General features: G+C 43.3%; 2 pseudogenes, besides 2 other annotated features; both read left to right on the forward strand.

Annotated features, from left to right (window-relative positions):
- Nucleotides 5,819-6,411: an enhancer, noted in NCBI's record as "H3K27ac hESC enhancer chr1:168177413-168178005 (GRCh37/hg19 assembly coordinates)". NCBI's record gives its function as "activates a minimal SCP1, AML or CMV promoter by ChIP-STARR-seq in primed H9 embryonic stem cells {active_cell/tissue: H9 hESC(primed)}" and the evidence as "EXISTENCE:reporter gene assay evidence [ECO:0000049][PMID:30033119]".
- RPL34P1 (ribosomal protein L34 pseudogene 1) lies at nt 8,210-8,627 on the forward strand (annotated as a pseudogene).
- On the forward strand, nt 13,049-13,296 carry LOC107985453 (cytochrome c oxidase subunit NDUFA4-like; annotated as a pseudogene).
- Nucleotides 16,454-16,621: a transcriptional cis regulatory region, noted in NCBI's record as "candidate enhancer chr1.9777 targeted for multiplex CRISPR interference". NCBI's record gives its function as "positively regulates MPC2 gene expression in K562 cells {active_cell/tissue: K562}" and the evidence as "EXISTENCE:mutant phenotype evidence [ECO:0000015][PMID:30612741]".

Consider the following 23,002-nt stretch of genomic DNA (forward strand, 5'->3'; position numbering starts at 1 on the left):
ATTTTCTGTATGTTGGGTTAATGTTTTTGGTTTTTGAAAATATGAATACCTGTCGTATGTATTAGTTTTGAGTACTATATGTACAATTATGGTGCTAGGTATAATAGATTACAACAATGAAGCGATGTAGTATATGTTTTTATAGGATTAAAGTCTAATGGAGGAGACAAAGTAAAAAAATTACTAATTTTAATATGTGCAGTGATGGAAATGATACTGACAAGAGAGTAACAGAAAATCAACTAACTTTAGTAGAGGTAGTCAGAGCTCTGCTTCTCAAGAAGATGTGGAAAACCTCAAGAGACTGTCATTCCCATTTTAACAAGGAGAAAAGGCTGGGTCATCTATAAAATTAAAGCTTTTTTTCTTGAACATATCAAAGAACTGAAATTACAAGGCAAACAAACCAAATCCCAAAGAGTGATAAGCCCTACAAGGAGAGATGGGACATACTGACTGTTTAACCTTAGGAAGAACCCAAGAGAAAGAGATGGCCTTTATATAAACAGGTAAAATATTGGCAAAAATTTTAAGAAATTCCTAAAGTGTACATGTGGGCTAGCATACCAGTTTGGAATAGCCAAGAATCTGAAATAAGGGAACTTCATACACACTCACAAGTTCTTTCCCAAGGGCCTACACCAGGACTTAAGAAAGACTGGAAGCAGGGTGTGGAACCAGAAAGTCTCAGTAGGTGGTTTAAGCAAACAGAAGGTAGTTGGCTGCCATGAAATTCTGCCTGCTTTCAAGCTCTTCTCTTGAATGATGCAAAAGCCTTAGGCTATTGTAGGGAGGAACAACAATCATTCCTAGGGCCCAGGCAGAAATTCATTGCTCTGGGGTAGGAATGTAGACAAAACCCATCTGCTTTTGAGAGAGAGGTAGGAAATGTTCTGCCTTCAGGACACAGGAAAACAATATTACTGCTGGAAGAGTAGAAGCAAAAATTGACCTTGGAGGATAGGCAGAAAATCTGGGCCCAGGAAGCCACATGGATAACATAAAGAGGTCTGCTCCCAGTGGGGAATGAGCATGAAATTGTTGCACAAGACCAACAATAGATTTGAAACAGATTTTGACTACTATTGAGAAATGGTGCAGGAATGTTGAGAAAGCCACATCCCTGAAGGCCAGGCACACAAAGCCTGCCTAAGACCGAGGCTAGCCAAGGACAAAAAACCCCCTGTCTCTGCTATAAGCCTAGCACTAAGTAACAAGGAAAACCAGTCTGTTGAGGAAGCAGCAAGGGTGTAAATATAGATCCTCTCTGTGGTGTAGGCATACAGGGATCCCTGAAAATTGAGGGTGGGACTCAGAAAAGTCCTCCTGTACTCCAGGTGCACTGTAAGCATAAGGTAACAGCAGTCAACCACTGGAAGAATTTGAAGCCTGTAGTATACTGAAGATAGTGACAGCATTAATCCAACCCAAACCCCTAAAAACTGGTGTCTACATTGACACAATTTCCAAACTAATGGTCTCTGTGTTAGTCCATTTTGCATTGCTACAAAGGAATACCTGAGGCTGGATAATTTATAGACAAGAGGTTTATTTTGGCTCATGGTTCTGCAGATTATACAAGAAACATGGTGCCAGCATTTGCTTCTGGTTAGGCCTCAGGAAGCTTTTACTTGCGGCAGAAGGAAAGGGGAGCTGATGTGTCACATGACAAGAGCAGGAGCAAGAGAGATGCCAAGTTCTTTTTATTTATTTATCTATTTTATTTATTTATTTATTTACTGAGATAGCATCTCAGCCTGTCGCCCAGGCTGGAGTGCAGTGGCACCATCTCAGCTCACTGCAGCCTCTGCCTCCTGGGTTCAAACGATTCTCCTGCCTCAGCCTCCTGAGTAGCTGGGATTACAGGCATGCGCCACCAAGCCCAGCTAATTTTTGTATTTTTAGTAGAGATGGGGTTTCACCATGTTGGCCAGGCTGGTCTCGAATGCCTAACCTCAAGTGATCCACCCACCTCGGCCTCCCAAAGTGCTGGGATTATAGGCATGAGCCACCGTGCCTGGCCCAAGCTCTTTTTAAAAAACCAGCTTTCACGTGAACTAATGAAGAACTCATTACCCCAAAGAGGGCACTAATCTGCTCATGAGGGATCCCTCCCATGACCCAAACACCTCTTACCAGGCCCTGCTTCCAACATTGAGAATCACATTTCAACATGAGATTTGGAAGGGACAGACATCCAAACTATATCAGTTTGACAGAAGTGTGTGCATTTCCAGGTGTAACACAATCTACCTTATTCCTTCTGTTATACACATGAGTCTGGCATTCAATCAAAAACCAACAAAATCCAATTCAGAAATGAAACAGAGGTTGGGACTAGCAGACCTTAAGACAATCAGTTAATATATTAACATATCTGGTGGAAAAGGTGGGAAATAACAAACAGATAGTGAATTTCAGCAGAGAAGTGGGTAAAAAAGGGCAAAATGGAAACACCAGATATATACACATAAAAAGCTTGGCCAGGCACTGTGGTTCACACCTGTAAGCCCAGCACTTTGGGAGGCCGAGGCAGGTAGATCACTTGAGACCAGGAGTTTGAGACCAGCCTGTCTAACATGGGGAAACCCCAGCTCTACTAGAAATACAAAAAATTAGCCAGGCGTGGTAGCACATACCTATAATCCCAGCTACTCGGGAGGCTGAGGCATGAGAATTGCTTGAACTCGGGAGGCAGAGGTTGCAGTGAGCTGAGATCGTGCCACTGCACTCCTGCCTGGGCAACAGAGCAAGACTCTGTGTCAAAAAAAAAAAAAAAGTCTACAATATCAGAGATAGCGGATTTCTTCAAACTTGATACAGCTGAAGAATTCATGAACTTGAAAAGAGGTCAATAGCAAGTATCTAAACAGACAAAGCAAAAGAGAGTAGTGGTGGGGAAACAGGACAGAGCATCCAAGAACTGTGGAGCAAGATCAAATAGTCTGATGTACAGGCAAACCTTGAAAATATTACAGTGTGGCTCCAGACCACTGCCATAAAACAAATAAAGCAAGTCACATGAATTTTTTTGTTAACGAGTGCATATGAAAGTTATGTTTACACTATACCATAGTCTATTAAGTGTGCAATAGCATTATGTCTAAAGAAAAACAACATACGTATCTTAATTTAAAAATGCTTTATTAAAACAAAATGCTAATAATCATCTGACCCTTCAGCAAGTAGCAGTATTTTTGCTGGTAGAGGACCTTGCTTTGAGTTGATGGCTGCTGACTGATGATGGCTGTGGCAATTTCTTAAAATAAGACATCAACGGCCAGGTGTGGTGGCTCACACCTGCAATCCCAGCATTTTGGGAGGCCGAGGTGGGCGGATCACCTGAGGTTGGGAGTTCAAGACCAGCCTGACCAACATGGAGAAACCCTGTCTCTACTAAAAATACAAAATTAGCTGGGTATGGTGGCACATGCCTGTAATCCCCGCTACTCGGGAGACTGAGGCAGGAGAATCATGTGAACCTGGGAGGCGGAGGTTGCGGTGAGCAGAGATCACACCATTGCACTCCAGTCTGGGCAACAGGAGTGAAACTCCGTCTCAAAAAAAAAAAAAAAAAAGACATTCAACCCTCTTAGATCCTGCCACTACTTTATCAGCTAAGTAACTAAGTATATGTAATATTCTAATCCTTTGTTGCCATTTCAACAATGCTTACGGTATCTTCAACAGTAGATTCCATCTCAAGAAACCACTTTCTTTGTTCATCCATAAGAAGCAACTCCTCATCCTGTTAAAGTTTTGTCATGAATTTGCAATAATTCTGTCACACCTTTAGGCTCTGCTTCTAATTCTAGTTCTCTTGCTATTTCCACCCCATCTGCAGTGACTTCCTCCACTGAAGTCCTGAACCTCTCAAAGTCATCCACAAGGGTTGGAATCAACTTCTTCCAAACTCCTGTTAAAATGTTGACATTTTGACCTCCTTCCATGAATCACAAATTGGCATCTGGAATGGTTAATCCTTTCCAGAAAGTTTTCAATTGACTTTGCCTGGTTCCATGAGAGGAATCACTATCTATGGCAGCTATAGCCTTATGAAATGTATTTCTTAAGAAATAAGACTTGAAAGTTGAAATGACTCTTTGATCCATGGGCTGCAGATTGTATATTGTGTCAGCAGGCATGAAAACACAGCATTCATCTCCTTGTACATCTCTATCACAGCTCTTGGTTGACCAGCTACATTGTCAATGAGCAGTGATATTTTGAAAAGAATCTTTTTTTCTGAACAGTAGGTCTCAATACTGGGCTTAAAATATTTAGTGAGCGAGGCTGTAAAGAGATGTGCTGTTATCCAGGCTTTGTTGTAGAGCACAGGTGGTAGCAACTGATCATAATTCTCAGCTCTAGGATTTTGAGAATGGTAAATGAAACTTTCTCAGTATCAGCAGTAAGGCTGTTTTGCTTTATTATCATTTATGTATTCACTGGAGTAGCACTTTTCATTTCCTTCAAGAGCTTTTCCTTTGCATTCACAACCTGGCTAACTCGTACAAGATGTCTGGCTTTCATCCTATCATGCCTTCCTTACTAAGCTTAATCATTTCTAGCCTTTGATTTAAAGTGAAAGACATGGGACTCTTCCTTTCACTTGAACACTTAGAGGTCATTGTAGGTTATTTTTTTTTTTAAGCATGGAAATAAATTTTTTTATTACTGAATTATTTCCCTTATTTGACTTTCATAAGGAAATACTCAAAAACCACTTCAAAATAACTCAATTCTCACTCATACACATAGCATTTTCAGGACACCATATTTTCTTTTTTATTATTTTATTTTATTTTATTTTATTTTATTTATTTTTTTATTGATCATTCTTGGGTGTTTCTCGCAGAGAGGGATTTGGCAGGGTCATAGGACAATAGTGGAGGGAAGGTCAGCAGATAAACAAGTGAACAAAGGTCTCTGGTTTTCCTAGGCAGAGGACCCTGCGGCCTTCCGCAGTGTTTGTGTCCCCGGGTAGTTGAGATTAGGGAGTGGTGATGACTCTTAATGAGCATGCTGCCTTCAAGCATCTGTTTAACAAAGCACATCTTGCACCGCCCTTAATCCATTTAACCCTGAGTGGACACAGCACATGTTTCAGAGAGCACTGGGTTGGGGGTAAGGTCATAGATCAACAGCATCCCAAGGCAGAAGATTTTTTCTTAGTACAGAACAAAATGGAGTCTCCTATGTCTACTTCTTTCTACACAGCCACAGCAACAATCTGATTTCTCTATCTTTTCCCCGCATTTCCCCCTTTTCTATTCGACAAAACTGCCATCGTCATCATGGCCCGTTCTCAATGAGCTGTTGGGTACACCTCCCAGACGGGGTGGCGGCCGGGCAGAGGGGCTCCTCACTTCCCAGAAGGGGCAGCCGGGCAGAGGCGCCCCCCACCTCCCGGACGGGGCGGCTGGCTGGGTGGGGACGCTCCTCACTTCCCAGACGGGCGGCTGCCGGGCGGAGGGGCTCCTCACTTCTCAGATGGGGCGGCTGCCGGGCGGAGGGGCTCCTCACTTCTCAGACGGGGCGGCTGCCGGGCGGAGGGGCTCCTCACTTCTCAGACGGGGCGGCTGCCCGGCGGAGGGGCTCCTCACATCCCAGACAGGGTCGTCGCCGGGCAGAGGTGCTCCTCACATCCCAGACGGGGCGGCGGGGCAGAGGCGCTCCCCACATCTCAGACGATGGGCGGCTGGGCAGAGACGCTCCTCACTTCCTAGACGAGATGGCGGCCAGGAAGAGGCGCTCCTCACTTCCCAGACTGGGCAGCCGGGCAGAGGGGCTCCTCACACCCCAGACGATGGGTGGCCAGGCAGAGATGCTCTTCACTTCCCAGATGGGGTGGCGGCCAGGCAGAGGCTGCAATCTCGGCACTTTGGGAGGCCAAGGCAGGCGGCTGAGAGGTGGAGGTTGTAGCGAGCCGAGATCACGCCACTGCACTCCAGCCTGGGCAACATTGAGCACTGAGTGAACGAGACTCCGTCTGCAATCCCGGCACCTCGGGAGGCCGAGGCTGGCAGATCACTCGTGGTTAGGAGCTGGAGACCAGCCCGGCCAACACAGCGAAACCCCGTCTCCACCAAAAAAATACGAAAACCAGTCAGGCGTGGCGGCGCGCGCCTGCAATCGCAGGCACTCGGCAGGCTGAGGCAGGAGAATCAGGCAGGGAGGTTGCAGTGAGCGGAGATGGCGGCAGTACAGTCCAGCTTCGGCTCGGCATCAGAGGGAGACCGTGGAAAGAGAGGGAGAGGGAGACCGTGGGGAGAGGGAGAGGGAGAGGGAGAGGGAGAGCCATTGTAGGTTATTAACTGGCCTAATTTCAATATTGTTGTGTCTCAGGGAACAGAAAGGCCTGAGGAGAGGGAGAGAGATGGGACAATGGAAGGTCAATGGACCAGTCACAGCACACACTACATTTATCGATTAAGCTCATTGTCTTATATAGGCAGAATTGTTGATATCCCCCAACAGTTAACAATAGTAACATCAAGGATCACTCATCACAGATCACCATACAGATATAATCAATGCAATATCTGTGAAGCACAATAAACCAAAGTACAAAAAAAGACATACACCCATATGTAATTAAAGTCCAAGAGAAAACAGAAATGGACTGCGGGATAAGAAATATCAGTAGAGGCCGGGCGCGGTGGCTCACGCCTGTAATCCCAGCACTTTGGGAGGCCGAGGCGGGCGGATCACGAGGTCAAGAGATCAAGACCATCCTGGCCAACATGGTGAAACCCCGTCTCTACTAAAAATACAAAAATTAGCCAGGCGTGGTGGCACGCACCTGTAGTCCCAGCTACTCGGGAGCCTGAGGCAGGAGAATTGCTTGAATCCGGGAGGCAGAGGTTGCAGTGAGCCGAGATTGCACCACTGCACTCCAGCCTGCCAATAGAGTGAGACTCCATCTCAAAAAAAAATAATAATAATAAAATAAAAAGAAAGAAAAAAATGTATCAGTAGAGATAATGGCCAAGAATTTTCCAAAGTTAATGAAGAACAGTAACTCACAGGTCCCAGAATTCCAGAAATTCCACATTGTAAGTCAAACTGCTGAAACCAAAGATAAGAGTTAATCTCTCAAAGACAGTTGGAGGAAAAAGAAACATTATATACAGAGAAAGAAACACATAAGAATTATAGCCAACTTCTGGTCAGGGAGTAAATGAGCAAGAAAATAATGAAGCGAAGGTCCATGTAAGGAGCTTGGAAGTCATCATTCCATCTTGACAATAAGGAAAATGCTGGACAAAGTGAAGACACAACTCTTCTTGGATCCCTCAGAAAAGTGACGTTACAGGGCAAAATGCTACTCCCAAAATTGAAGAGACAGGCAAATACAGAGAATTACAACTTAATGGAGCAGGAACTCAGAAGCAAAAACCTCCGTGGGCACTAGTGCCAGGGTAGGAAAATCTAAATTGTGCTTGACAAATAGCTGGAGGCTCAGTGTGGACAAGTTTGAGATTAAAAACTCCAAGGGGGCCAGATGTGGTGGCTCATGTCTGTAATCCCAGCACTTTGGAGCCCAAGACAGGCAGATCACCTGAATTCAGGAGTTCGAAACCAGCCTGGCCAACATGGCAAAACCCCATCTTTACTAAAAATACAAAAATTAGCCAGGTGTGGTAGCATGCGCCTGTAATTTCAGCTACTTGGGAGACTAAGGCATGAGAATCACTTGAACCCAGGAGGCAGAGGTTGCAGTGAGCCAAGGTCACACCATTGCACTCCAGCCTGGGCAACAGAGTGAGACTCCATCTCAAAAAATAAAATAAAACAAATAAATAAAAACTCCAGGGGGACCCAGTCATAGGGCAACCGCCACACTTCTCTGAGTTTTACCTCCAGGCACTCAATCAGGTTCTCACAGTAAAGACTGGCCAAAAATCCCTTTGGGATTTCATCAGGGGAAGGGGACAAATAACCATTTTCAAATATGCCAGAGCTTTCTCTTGTTAACAAGGCCTGCCCTTGAGAGAAACTGTTTTACTAGAGCCTAATCTAGTAAAGTTTTTTCAGAGTCTTACTGATTGGGGGAAGAGAAATATCCAACTCCAGTCAGCTCTAGCTATCCTGTTCCACCCAATGGTGGGGAGGGAGGTACGGAGAAGCACTTGTGAAGTTCACAGTCCAGAGGCACAGGCTCATTAAAAGACTGAGACTGAATCCTATTCGACCTTTGAACTCACAAAGACTTTCTTCTTCCTCTTTTGCTGATGTTGTTTACAGGCACTCAGAATGGTCCAGCATTTGATATACCATCGTAGGCTTTCCTACAATATAGCCTCTAACAAAACTAGGCTGTCCCAAACCCCAGGTAATAGAATTGTTTACTTTTATACCAAGAAGGTTGGGAAAGCACCAAAATCTGCATGTGGCATGTGCCCAGGCAGACTTTGAGGGGTTCGTGCTGTGAGACCTAAAGTTCTTATGAAATTGTCCAAAACAAAAAAACATGTCAGCAGGGAATATGGTGGTTCCATTTGTGCTAAATGTGTTCATGACAGGATCAAGCATGCTTTCCTTATCGAGGAGCAGAAAATTGTTGTGAAAGTGTTGAAGGCACAAGCACAGAGTCAAAAAGCTAAATAAAAAATGAAACTGTTGCTGGGAGTGGTGGCTCACACCTGTAATCCCAGCACTTTGGGAGGCCGAGGCGGGCAGATCATGAGGTCAGGAGTTCGAGACCAGCCTGACCAACATGGTGAAACCCTGTCTCTACTAAAAATACAAAAATTAGCTGGGCATGGTGGCATGCACCTGTAATCTCCGCTACTTGGGAGGCTGAGGCAGGAGAATCGCTTGAACACGGGAGGTAGAGGTTGCAATGAGCCCTGCATTCCAGCCTGGACGACAGAGCGAGACTCCTTCTCAAAAAAAAAAAGGAAAGAAAGAAACTTTTTTGAGCAATAAAAATGAAAAGACTTTAAAAAAAGACTGAGACCTAATCATAGGACTATAAAATACCTTTCCTTCCCACACATCTTCCCACACATTACTAAAGGCCTTTTTACTATAGCCCCTTTTACGTACATCACGTTCAGGTATCAAGAAAAAAAACTACAAGGCAGACTAAAAGGCAAAACAGAACAAAAACTCCACAGTTTTAAGAGACAGAGCAATCCTCAGAACCAGATTCATATATGACAGGGATGTTGAAATGGTCAGACCATGTACTTAAAACAACTGATTCATATGCTAAAGACTCTAGTGAATAAAGTAGACAGCCTGCAAGAACAGATGGGCAATGGGTGAACAGAGAGATGGAAATTCTAAGCATAAACATAATGCCAGAAATAAAAACACTGCAGCAGAAATGAAGAATGCTTTTGATGGGTCTATTAATAGATTGGACATGGCTGAGAAAACAATCTCTGAACTTGAGTGTATCTCAATAGAAACTTCCAAAATGGAAGAGCAAAAAGAAAAAAAAGATTGAAAAAAAAAAATCCCAACAGAAAATCCAAGAATGATGGGACAACTAGAATAAGTATTACATAAGTGGAATGAAAATATCACAAGGGCTAGGCACAGTGGCTCACACCTGTAATCCCAGCACTTTGGGAGGCTGAGGTGGGTGGATCACCTGATGTCAGGAGTTCGAGACCAGCCTGGCCAACATGGTGAAACCCTGTCTTTAATAAAAATACAAAAATTAGCCAGGTGTGGTGGCGGGTGCCTGTAATCTCAGCTACTCGGGAGGCTGAGGCAGGAGAATCGCTTGAGCCTGGGAGGCGGAGGTTGCAGTGAGCCAAGACCGTGCCACTGCACTCCAGCCTGGGCAACACAGTGAGACTCCATATCATAATAAAAATAAAAATAGAAAAGAAAATACCAGAAGGAGGCCAGGCGCGGTGGCTCACATCTGTAGGCAGAGGTTGCAGTGAGCCGAGATTATGCCACTGCACTCCAGTCTGGGCGACAGAGCGAGATTTCATCTCAAAAAAGAAAAGTAAAAAAGAAAATACCAGAAGGAGAAGAAATAAATAAAACAACAGAAGAAATACTTGAAGCAATAATGACTGAGAATTTTTGCAAATTAATGTCAGATATCAAATCACAGATTCAGGAAGCTCAGAGAACACCACACAGGATAAATGTCAAGACAACAATAACCACAATCATCACCACAAAAAAACATGACACCTAGGAATACCATATTTTAAAAGTCCTATATTTTAAAAGTCTTTAAAAAGTCAGAGGAAAAAGACACCTTACCTACAGGGGAAAAAAGATAAAAATTATACCCAACTTCTCCTCAGTAACATGCAAGCAAGGAGGTCAGTGAAATTTAGTGTTGAGAGAAAAAGATTACCAACCTAGAATTCTGTGTCCTGTGAAATGATTCTTCAGAGGTGAAGGAGAAGTACAGACTTTCTCAGACAAACAAAAACTGAAGAAGTTTGTTGCCAGTAGATCTGCCTTACAATAAATGTTAAAAGTTTCTCAGAGAAAAGAAAAATGATATAGGTCAGAAACTTGGAGCTACGTAAAGAAAGAAAGAGCAATCTATCTATCTATCTATCTACCATCTATTCTATCTATTCTATAATCTATTCTATTTATCTAATCTATAATCTATTCTATCATCTATTCTATCCAATCTATCCAATCTATTCTATCTATCTATCTATCTATCTATCTATCTATCTATCTATCTAATCTCTGTCTCTGTCTGCCTGCCTGCCTATATAACTACTTACCTACCTTTCTACCTATCTATCCAGTCACCCATCCATCTATCTAAATAGATTTATTGTAAAGAGTTAGATCATGTGATTATGGATGCTGAGAAGTTCCCAGACATGCAGTCGGCAAAGTGGAGATCTGGGAGAACCTGTGGTACAGTTCCAGTGCAAGTCTGAAGGCCTGAGAATCAGGAGAGCCAATGGTGTCAGTTCCAGTTCAAAAGCTAGCAGGCTTGAGACCCAAGAAGAGCCATTGTTTCAGTTCAAGTTCAAAGGAAGCAAAAGATTGATGTCCTTGCTCAAGGCAGTCAGGCGGGAGATGTTCCCTTTACTTGGCCTTTCTGATCTATTCAGGCATTCAGTGGATTGGACAAGACCCACCCACATCAGGGAGGGTAGTCTAATTTGTAGTCTTTACTCAGTTTACCAATGCAAATGTTAATCTCATTCAGAAACCCCCTCACAGATATACCCAGAATAGTGTTTGACCAAATATCTGGGCACCCTGTGGCCTAGTCAAGTTCACACATAAAATTCATCATCGCAATGACATTCTGGAAAGGCAAAATCATTGGCAGAAATCAGATCAATTGTTTCAAGAGGGGGGAAGTATTGAATATGAAAGGACCTGAGGGAAATTTTAGGTGTGATGGACTATGCTAAATTTTTATTGTGGTGGTACTTACTTGACCATATAGGTTTGTCAGAACTCATTGAATTGTATACCTAAAAAAGGCAAATTTCTTTATATGTAACTATACTTTAATAAACATGAATTTAAGAACAAAAAAGAATTTGAAGAACAATTGAAAGAAGAAGAAGAAGGCTGGGCACCATGCCTCATGCCCATAATCCCAGCACTTTGGGAGGCTGAGGTGGGAGGATCGCTTGAGCCCAGGAGTTTGAGACCAGCCTAGGAAACATAGGGAGACCTCATCTCTACAAAAGATAAAAAACAGTAGCCAGGAATGGTGGCACATGTCTGTTGTCCCAGATACTTGGGAGGCTGAGGTGGGAGATTGTTTGAGTCCTAGAGGTTGAGGCTTCAGTGAGCAGTGATCATGCCACTGCACTCGAGCCTGGGCAACAGAGTGAGTTCCCATCCTGAAATAATAATAATAATAAATAATAAGAGGTAGTCTGGGCACTATACTGAGGGCATGCTATTTAAGCTGAATCCTGAACATAAAAATAACTTAGTCATGGGATATATTTGGGGTGGGAAGAGTTTGTAAGAGAGGAAACAATGGAGAACAGTCAATGAAAAGATTGGCATATTTATGGAAGCGGAGAGAGGTGTATTGCTTGAGCACAAGATGAGACTGAAGAGACTGGCTAGGGTTAGATTATGCAGCATTTTGTAGTCCACATTTAAGAAGGATAGATTTTATTTTGATGCAATAAGAAATAATGAAAAGTTAAGCATAGGGGGCAAGAGATCTGACATTTTCAATTCATGTTAGCCGCTAGATGGGGAATGGATTGAAGGTATTTAGAGGAGTAGCAGTCAACTTAGGAGGCTGTTTCAGTAGGCAATGGGAGTGATGATGCTGTGTGATCTAGAGCTGTGGTAGTGGATATGAGGAAGAGTGACTCAAAGAATATTTTGAAGATTGAATTTATTGGATTTCCTTATGAATTCAACATTAGGAGTGAAGGAAATGGAAGAATGAAGGAGGATGTTTAAGTTTTGGTCTTGACCAATTAGGAGGCTATTGGTGCTACGTAATGTGTTGAAGACAGAAAGGAGGGACAAGTTTGGAGGAATTAAAACTCCTCTTGACCATGTTAAGTTTGGAATGCCTGAGACATCCAAATGAAAATGTTTAATGTGTAGTTTCTTTTTTTTTTCTTTTTTTCTTTTTCTTTTTTTTTTTTTTTTGAGACAGAGTCTCACTCTGTTGCCCAGGCTGGAGTGAAGTGGCACAATCTTGGCTCACTGCAACCTCTGCCTCCTGGGTTCAAGCCATTCTCCTGCCTCAGCCTCCTGAGTAGCTGGGACTACAGGTACACACCATCATGCCCAGCTAATTTTTGTATTTTCAGTAGAGGCAGGGTTTCACCATGTTGGCCAGGCTGGTCTTCAACTTCTGGCTTCACATGATCTGCCCGCCTTGGCCTCCCAAGTGCAGAGATTACAGGCGTGAGCCACCACACCCGGCCTAATGTGTAGTTCGATGGGTAACTGAATCTGTAGCTCAAGAGATACCTGAACTAAAGAAAGAAATTGAGGATTATCACCAATATAGGTAACTTTTAAAGTCATATAAATGAATGAAATCACTTAAAGAATGTTGACAAAGAAATGAAGAGTTTCTTTCCTTTCAAATGCTACAAACATGCTCCACCAGATCCTCGGTCAGACTAAGAAGCATCTGAGCTTGATCCCCTCTTTGTGTTTATTGGAGCTGAAGGTACTGGAGCAGCACTGTGTGTCTTGTGTCTGGCATTGTTCAATCCAGATGTTAGTTGAGACGGAAAGCATAACCCAGAACCCTGAAACAAACTGGGTCCCAATGATCCATACGAGTTCTACCCAGTGAATGTGGATTACAGCATACTGAGGAAAGAAGGTCCAGATTTCTAAATGTTTCCCTATAAAGCTGCTTTAGAATGAAGGTCTTCCAGAAGCCATCTGCACAATTTTCCACTTAATCAGGAAATATTTCTCCTCTAAATGCATGAAATCATGTTGATATATTGGATTGGAGATTATATTGATTAATTAGTATCTGAAACTTGAAAAAAACTAAAAAGAAAAAGAAGCAGGCTGGGCACAGTGGCTCATGCCTGTAATCCCAGCACTTTGGGAGGCCGAGGCGGGCGGATCTCGAGGTCAGGAGATTGAAACCATCCTGGCTAACACGGTGAAACCCTGTCTCTACTAAAAAATACAAAAAATTAGCCCGCTGTGGTGGTGGGCGCCTGTAGTCCCAGCAACTCATGAGGCTGAGGCAAGAGAATGGCGTGAACCCGGGAGGTGGAGCTTGCAGTGAGCCGAGATCGCGCCACTGCACTCCAGGCGTGGGTGACAGAGCGAGACTCCGTCTCAAAAAAAATAAAATAAAATAAAATAAAAATAAAAAATAAAAAAAAAAAAAAAGAAAAAGAAATAACGAAGGCCTTGGAGGGATTCCTGATCCCTGAACAACACTTGGAGATCAAGAGACAAGAAGGAATAGCCAATGTAGAAACCAGGAGAGTACAGTAACATAGAAGCCAAGGGAAGAGAAGAATGTTTCTAGGAAGGAGTTGGCATCTGAATTGAATGCTGTTAAGGGAACTATTAATAGTAAGATGACAGGAGTTTTTATTGGCAGCACAGAGATATTGCTGATTTTTTTTTCTTTTTGTTAAGGCGTGGCCTTGCTCTATTGCCCAGGCTGGAGTGTAGTGGCATGATCACAGCTCACTGCAGCCTCAACCTCCCCGGGCTCAAGTGATCCTCCCACCTCAGCCTCCTTGGTAGCTGGGACTACAGGCGCACACCCCCATGTCCAGTTAATTTTTTTGTATTTTTTGCAGCAACGGGTTTTCGCCATGTTGTCTAGGCTGGTTTTGAACTCCTGGGCTTAAATGATCTGTCCGCCTCAGCTTCCCAAAGTGCTGGGATTACAGGCGTGAGCCACCACTCCTAGCCTGATATTGCTAATTTTATACAGTTTTGGGGGAGTGATGACAGCAGAAGCCAGACTGGACTTTGAAAATGAAATATGAAGATAGATCTCTCAACAAAATTGCTTTAAAAGAAACAGGCTGGTAGCTAGGGATTTGTGGGGACAGTCATGTCTATGGGAATAGCCTAATAATCAGATTGGTGATTCAGGAGAGGGGATAACCAATGGAGCAATCAGTGTTATGCAAATAAGGCAAATTAAAGCCTCATTTTTAATAATTGTTTATTAGTCATTTCTCACATTAACATTTAAAGGATTGTTATTAAGACGATCAAAACAAGGTTACAGATAATGCCGCTTCCAGAAACTAGAAATAGTCTAGTTTTTTTCCTTATGTACTTAACCACATAGCTTCCCTCAGTGATTCACAAAATAGGAAAATCTTTCCCTAATTTTTCGTATCATCACAAACTTAGCAAACTTAGCTGTCTGGAGGACTTGATATTCTTTATAAATGTGAGGCATGAAGCCTGTTGTCTTAGGGCCTTCCTTTTTTTTTTTTTTTTTTTGAGATGGAGTCTCAGGCTGGAGTGCATTAGTGTGATCTCGGCTCAATGCAACCTCCATCTCCTGGGTTCAAGAGATTCTCCTGCCTCAGCCTCCTGAGTAGCTGGGATTACAGGCATGCGCCACCATGCCTGGCTAATTTTTGTATTTTTGGTAGAGACAGGGTTTCACTATGTTGGCCAGGCTGGTCTCAGACTCTTGACCTTAGGCAGTTTGCCCACCTCAGCCTCCTAAAGTGCTGGAATTATAGGCGTGAGCTGCCATGCCCAGCCTTTTTTTTTTTTTTTTGGAGACAAGGTCTCACTCTGTTGCCCAGACTGTAGTGCAGTGGCATGATCTCAGCTCACTGCAACCCCTACCTCCTGGGTTCAAGTGATCCTCCTGCCTCAGCCTCCCACGTAGCTGAGATTGCAGGCCCGTGCCACCATGCCTGGCTTATTTCTATTTTTATTTTTGTAGAGACAGTGTCTCCCTGTATTTCCCAGGCTGGTCTGGAACACCTGGGCTCAAGCAATCTGCCCGCCCCAGCCTCCTAAAGTGCTGGGATTACAGGCACGAGCCACTGTGCCAGGCCAGGGCCTTCTTGAGTTGCGTTATAAATAAAGGGTCAGGTAGTGCTTGTGGAAATCCTGCCTACAGGTGTCCTCTTGTGGAAATAAGTAATTCAAAGTCTAAGCTATTGGAATGCTAAATTATTCTGAGCCTTAAAGGAATGAGAATTTCAGGGCCTGAGTCATTGACAGGCTGTAGACTAGGCAGCTATAAGCTATAAGCTTTTGTTTAATAACAAATTAAGCCTTTTCCCTTACATGCATTGTTTCATAAAATGTAAATGGTTGAAGGGTGCCAGGGAGGACCCCCTTCCCTCTAACTGTAGACTTTCATTATACATTGACCCCCCTCTTACCTTTCTGACACAAAGATTTCTAGGCTATCATATGGCTTAAGATGGAATGTTAAATACACTCTTTAAAATTGGAAAGGAAATGAAAAACCAGTTATAAGGAAAAGAAAACAAGCTACATGGAAACAAACTGTAACTAATTAATTTGTTATAACTCATAAATCAGTTTTGTATAGAAAATGTTGTAATCTTGTTAAATTTGTCTTTTTCCTATATAAGAAAAAATTTAGCTTTTGACTTCAAAGCACTAAACTCATTTCTCTGAAGGGGCGCATCCAGGAATGGCTTTCAGCTTCTCTTGAATAAGCTCTTTAAAACTGGATCCTGATCCTTTTGATTATTTCAGATTGATACTCTTCAGTAAAAAATCTTTAGATAGAGCTAGGTACAGTGGCTTATACCTGTAATCCCCACCACTTGGGAAGTTGAGGTGAAAGGGTTGCTTGAGGCCAGGAGTTTGAGACTTGGCTGAGCAACATAGCAAGACCCTGTCTCTAAATAATAATAATAATAATAAAATCTTTAGATATGTGTGTTTTCCTACGTATGTTGTATTTATGGCATGTCATAGTCTGTTTTGTGCTCCTATAACAGAATACCGTAGACTGGGTAATTTAAAATGAACAGAAATTTATTGGCTCACAGTTCTGGAACTGGGAAGTTCAAGATCAATGGGCCAGTATCTGTCAAAGGCCTTTTAGCTGCGTCATTCCATGACAAAAGGCAGAGGGCAGGGGAGAGAAAAGGAGACTGAACTGGTCTTTCTATAAGGGATCCACTCCTGTGATAATAGCATTAATATATTCATGAGGGCAGAGTCCTCATGGCCTAATAATCTCATAAAGATCCCATCTCTTAATACTGTTGTATGGGGATTGAGTTTCTAACACGTGATTTTTGGGGGATATGACATATTCAAACCGTAGCAGGGCACTGGCAGAGAAAATGCCCATGTGGGTTTTAAGTCTGGATTAGTGTTACAGTGTGTGAACCTACAAACGTATCTGAGACAGGTCTCAATCAATTTAGAAAGTTTATTTTGCCAAGGTTAAGGATACGCCTGTGACACAGCCTCAAGAGGTCGTGATGGCATGTGCCCAAGGTGGCTGGGGCACAGCTTGCTTTTATATATTTTAGGGAGACATAATACAACAGTCAACACTTGTAACATTTACACTGGTTTGATCTGGAAGGGCAAGACAACTCGAAGTGGGGCTTCCAAGTCATAGGTAAATTTAAAAATTTTCTGATGGGCAATTGGTTGAAAGAGTTTTATCAATAGAAAGAAATGTCTGGTTTCCCTAAAGGGGTTATAGAGACCAAGACTTTATATTGCAGATGAAGCCTCCAAGTAGGAGGCTTCAGAGAGAATACATTGCAGATGTCTTTTATCAGACTTAAGGTCTGTATTGATGTTAATACTAGTCAGCTTTTCCTGAATTCCAAAAGGCAGGAGGGCATACTGAGGCATGTTCGACCCCACCATCCTGTTGTGGCCTGAACTAGATTTTCAGGTTAACTTTGGAATGCTCTGGGCCAAGAGGAGGGGCCCATTCTGATGGTTGGAGGGCCTTAGAATTTTATTTTTGGTTTACAAGTGCCAGGTTTTTCTGAGACCTGAATTTGTCTAAGATAGAAATAAAAGCCCATTACAGCAAATACTACCCCGTCTTGGTTTGGGTTTCCTTCAAAATGTACCCTGAGACAAGCATCGGGAGGCAGGCAGGCAGTTTGACAGGCAATCTCAGGAAGAACAGGTGAGAAAGTGGGAAAGGGAGACAGGAAGAAAAGGCAAAGAAGGCGTGGTCATGAATGTGGGGATTGCAGCTGTGGTCAAAAGGGGCTTAATCTTGCTGGAGACTTCTGCAGAACCTTGTGGAACGTGCCCCAGAGTGTCCCATTTATAGTCGCATCTCGTTGGTTGGGGTTTGGCTCCAGGTTGATGGCTGGATCCCCCTTCCCAATACTGAAACAGCTCTGATGACTGGAGTGTTCGAACACCAGGGTCCTTAGTCTCGCACCAATTTTGATAAAACAACATGGACACACGTGGAGTAGTTTTAAGGAGTGAAAAGTTCAACAGTCAAGAAAGATGGAAGGAAGGAGAAAACAGCTTCCCTGTACAGAGACAGAGGGAGGGGGGATTTCTCTCTGTAAGCCATTTTCTGCTATCCTCCCCGCGCTCCCCCCCGAAACCCCCACCCCTACACACACACACACACACACACACACACACACACACACACACACACACGGCAGGGCGTGAGGAGAGAAACGACTGTCTGTTTTCACACTGCTATAAAGAACCTCCTGAGACTGGGTAATTTTTGAAGAAAAAAGGCTTAATTGTAATTTACTTACAGTTCTGCACAGTTAGGGAGGCCTCAGGAAACTTACAATCATGATGGAAAGTGAACGGGAACCAAGGACCTTCTTCACATGGTGTCAGGGAGAAAGAGTGAAGGAGAAACTGCCACACACTTTTAAACCATCAGATCTCATGAGAACTCACTATCGTGAGAACAGTGTAAGGGAAACCACCCACGTGATGCAATCACCACCCACTAGGCCCTTCCCCTGACACGTGGGGATTATAATTCCAGATGACATTTGGGTGGGGACACAGAGCCAAAGCATATCAAACTTCATGTCTATTGCTGGTACACGGGGATTCATGTCTATTGCTGGTACACGGGCAAGCAGGTATGAGGTGGGGCATCAGAGCCCTCCTTACAACATTCATGTATTGCAAAGTTACTTCCCTGCAGTGATGACTGGGAGAGTCTTATTATCTGCAATTCTGAACACTCCTGGATTTAAATGGTTTCTTTCATCCCTGTCTATACAACAGTTCGTTTATCAGCCAGCTATATTGTAATTGATAAAGAAGCCATGGGGCCATGAGAATACTGACATCAAACAGTTACTTTTCAGCTTCCTTTCCTACCTTTAAATGGTCATGCCTCTCCCTCAAAGGGACTTTGGAAAAATCATTTAAACTCTTACTCCACCACTAAAATCAGGTGAACACACAAAGCAATCTAGGGCTTGGAGCGATACATAAGGCTGGTGGTGTGTATCTGAATGTTTTTCTCTAAACCTGGGGTTTTCAACCAAGGGCCCATAGTCATGGCAGAACGCCTGGCATATATGACACTGCTGGTAGTGTGGGCCACTTTTCCCCACAGGGGCAGGTGGGGAGAGGCTCCATGACAATCATACTCTCAAAAGGGTCTGTGATGCCAAAATAGAACAAGAGGCACTGTCCTGATTGGTTCAGCTAGGGTTTCTACTTCATTTATTTACTTCATGTGGAAGACTGAAGAAAAGGCAAGAATACCCACTGGAAGTAGAGGGGAGGCCTGGCTGCCCCTACAAATATCCACAGAATGGCACAACCCTAAGTGTCCTTCAAAGATCTGTCTCTTGGCTTCACGGCTTCAAGGTCTGAATTGTGACCATTCAGAAGACTGACATCTTCCTGGGAGCAGCAGATTTTATAATGGAGAAGCCTTCTTGGTATGTAAGAAATCAAAATAAAAGAATACGCTGGATGCGGTGGCTCATGCCCGTAATCCCAGCACTTTGGGAGGCCGAGGTGGGCGGATCACCTGAGGTCAGGAGTTCAAGACCAGCCTGGCCAACATATAGTGAAACCCCGTCTCTATTAAAAAAATACAAAAATTAGCTGGGTGTTGTAGTGCACACCTGTAGTTCCAGCTACTTGGGAAGCTGAGGCAGGAGAATCGCTTGAAGCTGGGAGGTGGAGGTTGGAGTGAGCCGAGATCGTGCCACTGCACTCCAGCCTGGGTGACAGAATGAGACTCCATCTCAAAAAAAAAAAAAAAGGAAGAAAGTTCAGGATTTGCATGGTGGCCTAGGCTCTTACAATTGTGATAAGGATAAACCTGCTTCATGTGGGACTCAGACACCAGAACTATGTCTGACCTGTGCTGTGCTTAAATGGGCTTTGCCAACACTGCCTTAGGAGTCTCCTTTTCCTAGCCCCTAGGATTAACCAGTTTGAGGAATGGCCTTCCTTTCCTTCTCCTTTTCCTATTCTAGATACATTAAGGTATTCAATCATGATTTTCTAAGGGCTTTTTCTTAATAACCAAGTAGGAATATGTCCACCCTGATGAATTCTGTGTTAATTTCATGCATTAATAATGCTCAGAGAACTGCCTTACTTCCTATTCCTTGGAAGCTAACTCCTTAGAGCTTCCTTGCACACACACTTCTAAGAGACTTTGTAAGAACTTTTTTTGTGTTTAGCTTTTGCTGAGAGGAGGGTGAAATTTAATAGAGCGCACATAAAATTTCATCTAAAGCTTCCTGTTTGTTCATCCTGGCAAAACAGAGGTACAGAAAGGCTGTGAGGGAGTACATCACTCAGCCTTGAGGACTTGTTTGCATCTGCATTGCACAGTGGGGAATGAGAATGTGACCAGTGACTAGAGTAGGTTATTTATTTATTCATTTATTTGAGACGGAGTTTCGCTCTTGTTGCCCAGGCTGGAGGGCAATGGGGCGATCTCGGCTCACTGCAACTCTGCCTCCCAGGTTCAAGTGATTCTCCTGCCTCAGCCTCCAGAGTATCTGGGATTATAGGCGACTGCCACCATGCCCGGCTAATTTTTTTGTATTTTTAGTAGAGACAGGGTTTCACCATGTTGGACAGGCTGGTCTCAAACTCCTGACCTCCTGATCCACCTGCCTCAGCCTCCCAAACTGCTGGGATTACAGGCATGAGCCACCGCGCCTGGCCAATGACTAGAGTAGGTTACTATTTATTTAGCACCTACTATACGTTCCAGGCACTGTGCTTGGCACTGGGGATGGAAAGACAAATAAGATCTATGCCCCATAGGGACCCTAATGTGAACAAATGGAGCATATTGTGCTAAGTGTTATGGTGGAGGTAAGAATAAGGTGACTTGAGAGAACTGTGTGTTAGGGGAAGGGAAAGGGACAAGGATGGAAAAGAGTAGGTGTTTTCCAGGACAAGGTAGGGAACACAATGAGTTCAGGAACTACAGTCTCCTATGCCTGGAGCCTGGAGTATGTGAGAGAAAGGAGAGAGATGAACCCAAAGAGGAAGGTATGTGTTGCTGAGAAGTCAGCAGCAATTTATCTGTAGGTGGTAGGGAACATGGGCATTAGTTTCCTGCAGCTGCTGTTACATATCAGAAATTTGGTGGCAACAGAAATGGATTCTCTCACAGTTCTGGAGGCCAGAAATGCTGAAAACAAGCTATTGGCAGGACTATGCTCCCTCTGGAGGCTCTAGGGGAGAATCCTTTCCTTGCCTCTTCCAGCTTCTAGTGGCTACTGGCATTCCTTGGCTTGTGGCTGCATCACTCCCATCTCTGCCTCTGTGGTCACAGTGCCTTCTCCTCTTCTGTTGGTGTCAAATCTCCCTCTGCTTCCCTCTTATAAGGATATACATGATTGCATTTATGGCTCACCTGGATAATTGTGCATAATCTATTTTAAGATCCTTAATTACCTGCACAAAATACCACCCCCACTCCACTTTTCACTGTCTAAGGTAACATGTACACTTTCCAGAGATTAGGACATGGGTATCTTTTGGGGAACATTTTTCAGTTTACCACACTGTGGGAGATGTTAAGCAGGGCAACAAATGAGTCAGACTTATGTTTACAAAGATCCTTCAAGGGATGGTGTGGCACAGTCAGAAAAAACCTTCTGAAGACATTGATTAAACCTTCCTCATTCTTCTGTGTTTAATGACTACTTAGTATTCTTGTGAATGAATGTACCATAATTTATTTAAGCACTTCCCTCATTTATGAACTTTTAAGTTGTTTCCAATTTTTTTCTATTACAAACAATGCTACAATGAATCACCTTGTAATGGGCCAATTGCACAATGTGCAAATATAAATGTAGGTAAATCAGGAGCCCATATTCTGGGTTCAGACTCAGACACATTGGAGAAAGATAAGAGTGGATGCCTGTTACATTTTACAATAGATAATATTAATGGATTGTGAAATATATACTGAGCACTGTTCTAAGCATTTTTGAAATGGCTTTATTGCAATAGAATTCATATGCCATACAGTTAATTCAAAGCATACAATTCAATGGTTTTTAGTATGTTCAGAGCTGTGCATGCAACCATTACCACAATCTAATTCCAGAACATTTAAATCACCCCATTAGTCTCTTACTACCATTTCCCCTCCTCCATCCCTAGGCAACCATTAGTCTACTTTCTGTTTCTATGGGTTTGCCTATTCTGGACATTTCCTATAAATGAAATCATACAATATATGGTCTATTGTGTCTAGCTTCTGTGAAAGGGAAATATCTTGGGCCCCCCCAAATTACTAAAGGGAAAATTCAAGCTGGGAACTGCTTAGAACAAATCTGCCTCTCATTCTATTCAAAGTTATCACTGTGTTCACTGAGATAAATGCACATCTGATTGCCTCCTTTGGAAAGGCTAATCAAAAACTCAAAGGAGTGCAACCATTTGTCTCTCACCTATCTGTGACTTGGAAGCCCCCTCCCCCCTTGAGTCTTCCTGCCTTTGCTTCGAGTTGTCCCGCCTTTCCAAACACAACCAATGTACTTCTTACACATATTGACGGATGCCTCATGTCTCCCTAAAATGTATAACACCAAGCTATGCCCCAACGACCTTGGGCACATGTCGTCAGGACTTCCTGAGTCTGTGTCACAGGTGCTGTTCCTCAACCTTGGCAAAATAAACTTCCTGGTTAACTGAGACCTGTCTCAAATTTTCGGGCTCCACACTTCTTTCACTTAATACAATGTTTTCGAGGTTCATCCACGTTGTAGCATGTGTCAGTACTCCATTCTTTTTTATTGCATGGGTATGTCACATTTTATTTACCATTAATCAGTTGGTGGCCATTTGTATTGTTTCCACTCTGTTGCCCAAGCTAGAGTGCAGTGGCTTACTGTACTGACAATCATGGCTTACTGCAGCCTTGACCTCCTGAGTCCAAGCCATTCTTCCTCCTCAGCCTCGCAAGTAGCTTGGATTACAGATGCCCGCCAGCATGCCTGGCTAATTTTTAAGAATGTTTTGAAGAGATGAGGTCTCCCTATGTTGCCCAGGCTGGTCTGGAACTCCCGGGCTCAAGCCATCTTCCCAAAGTGCTGGGAATACAGACATGAGCCACCATGCCCAGTCTACTTTTAGTTTT

This window comes from Homo sapiens, chromosome 1, assembly GCF_000001405.40.
Source record: "Homo sapiens chromosome 1, GRCh38.p14 Primary Assembly".
Classification (NCBI taxonomy): domain Eukaryota; kingdom Metazoa; phylum Chordata; class Mammalia; order Primates; family Hominidae; genus Homo; species Homo sapiens.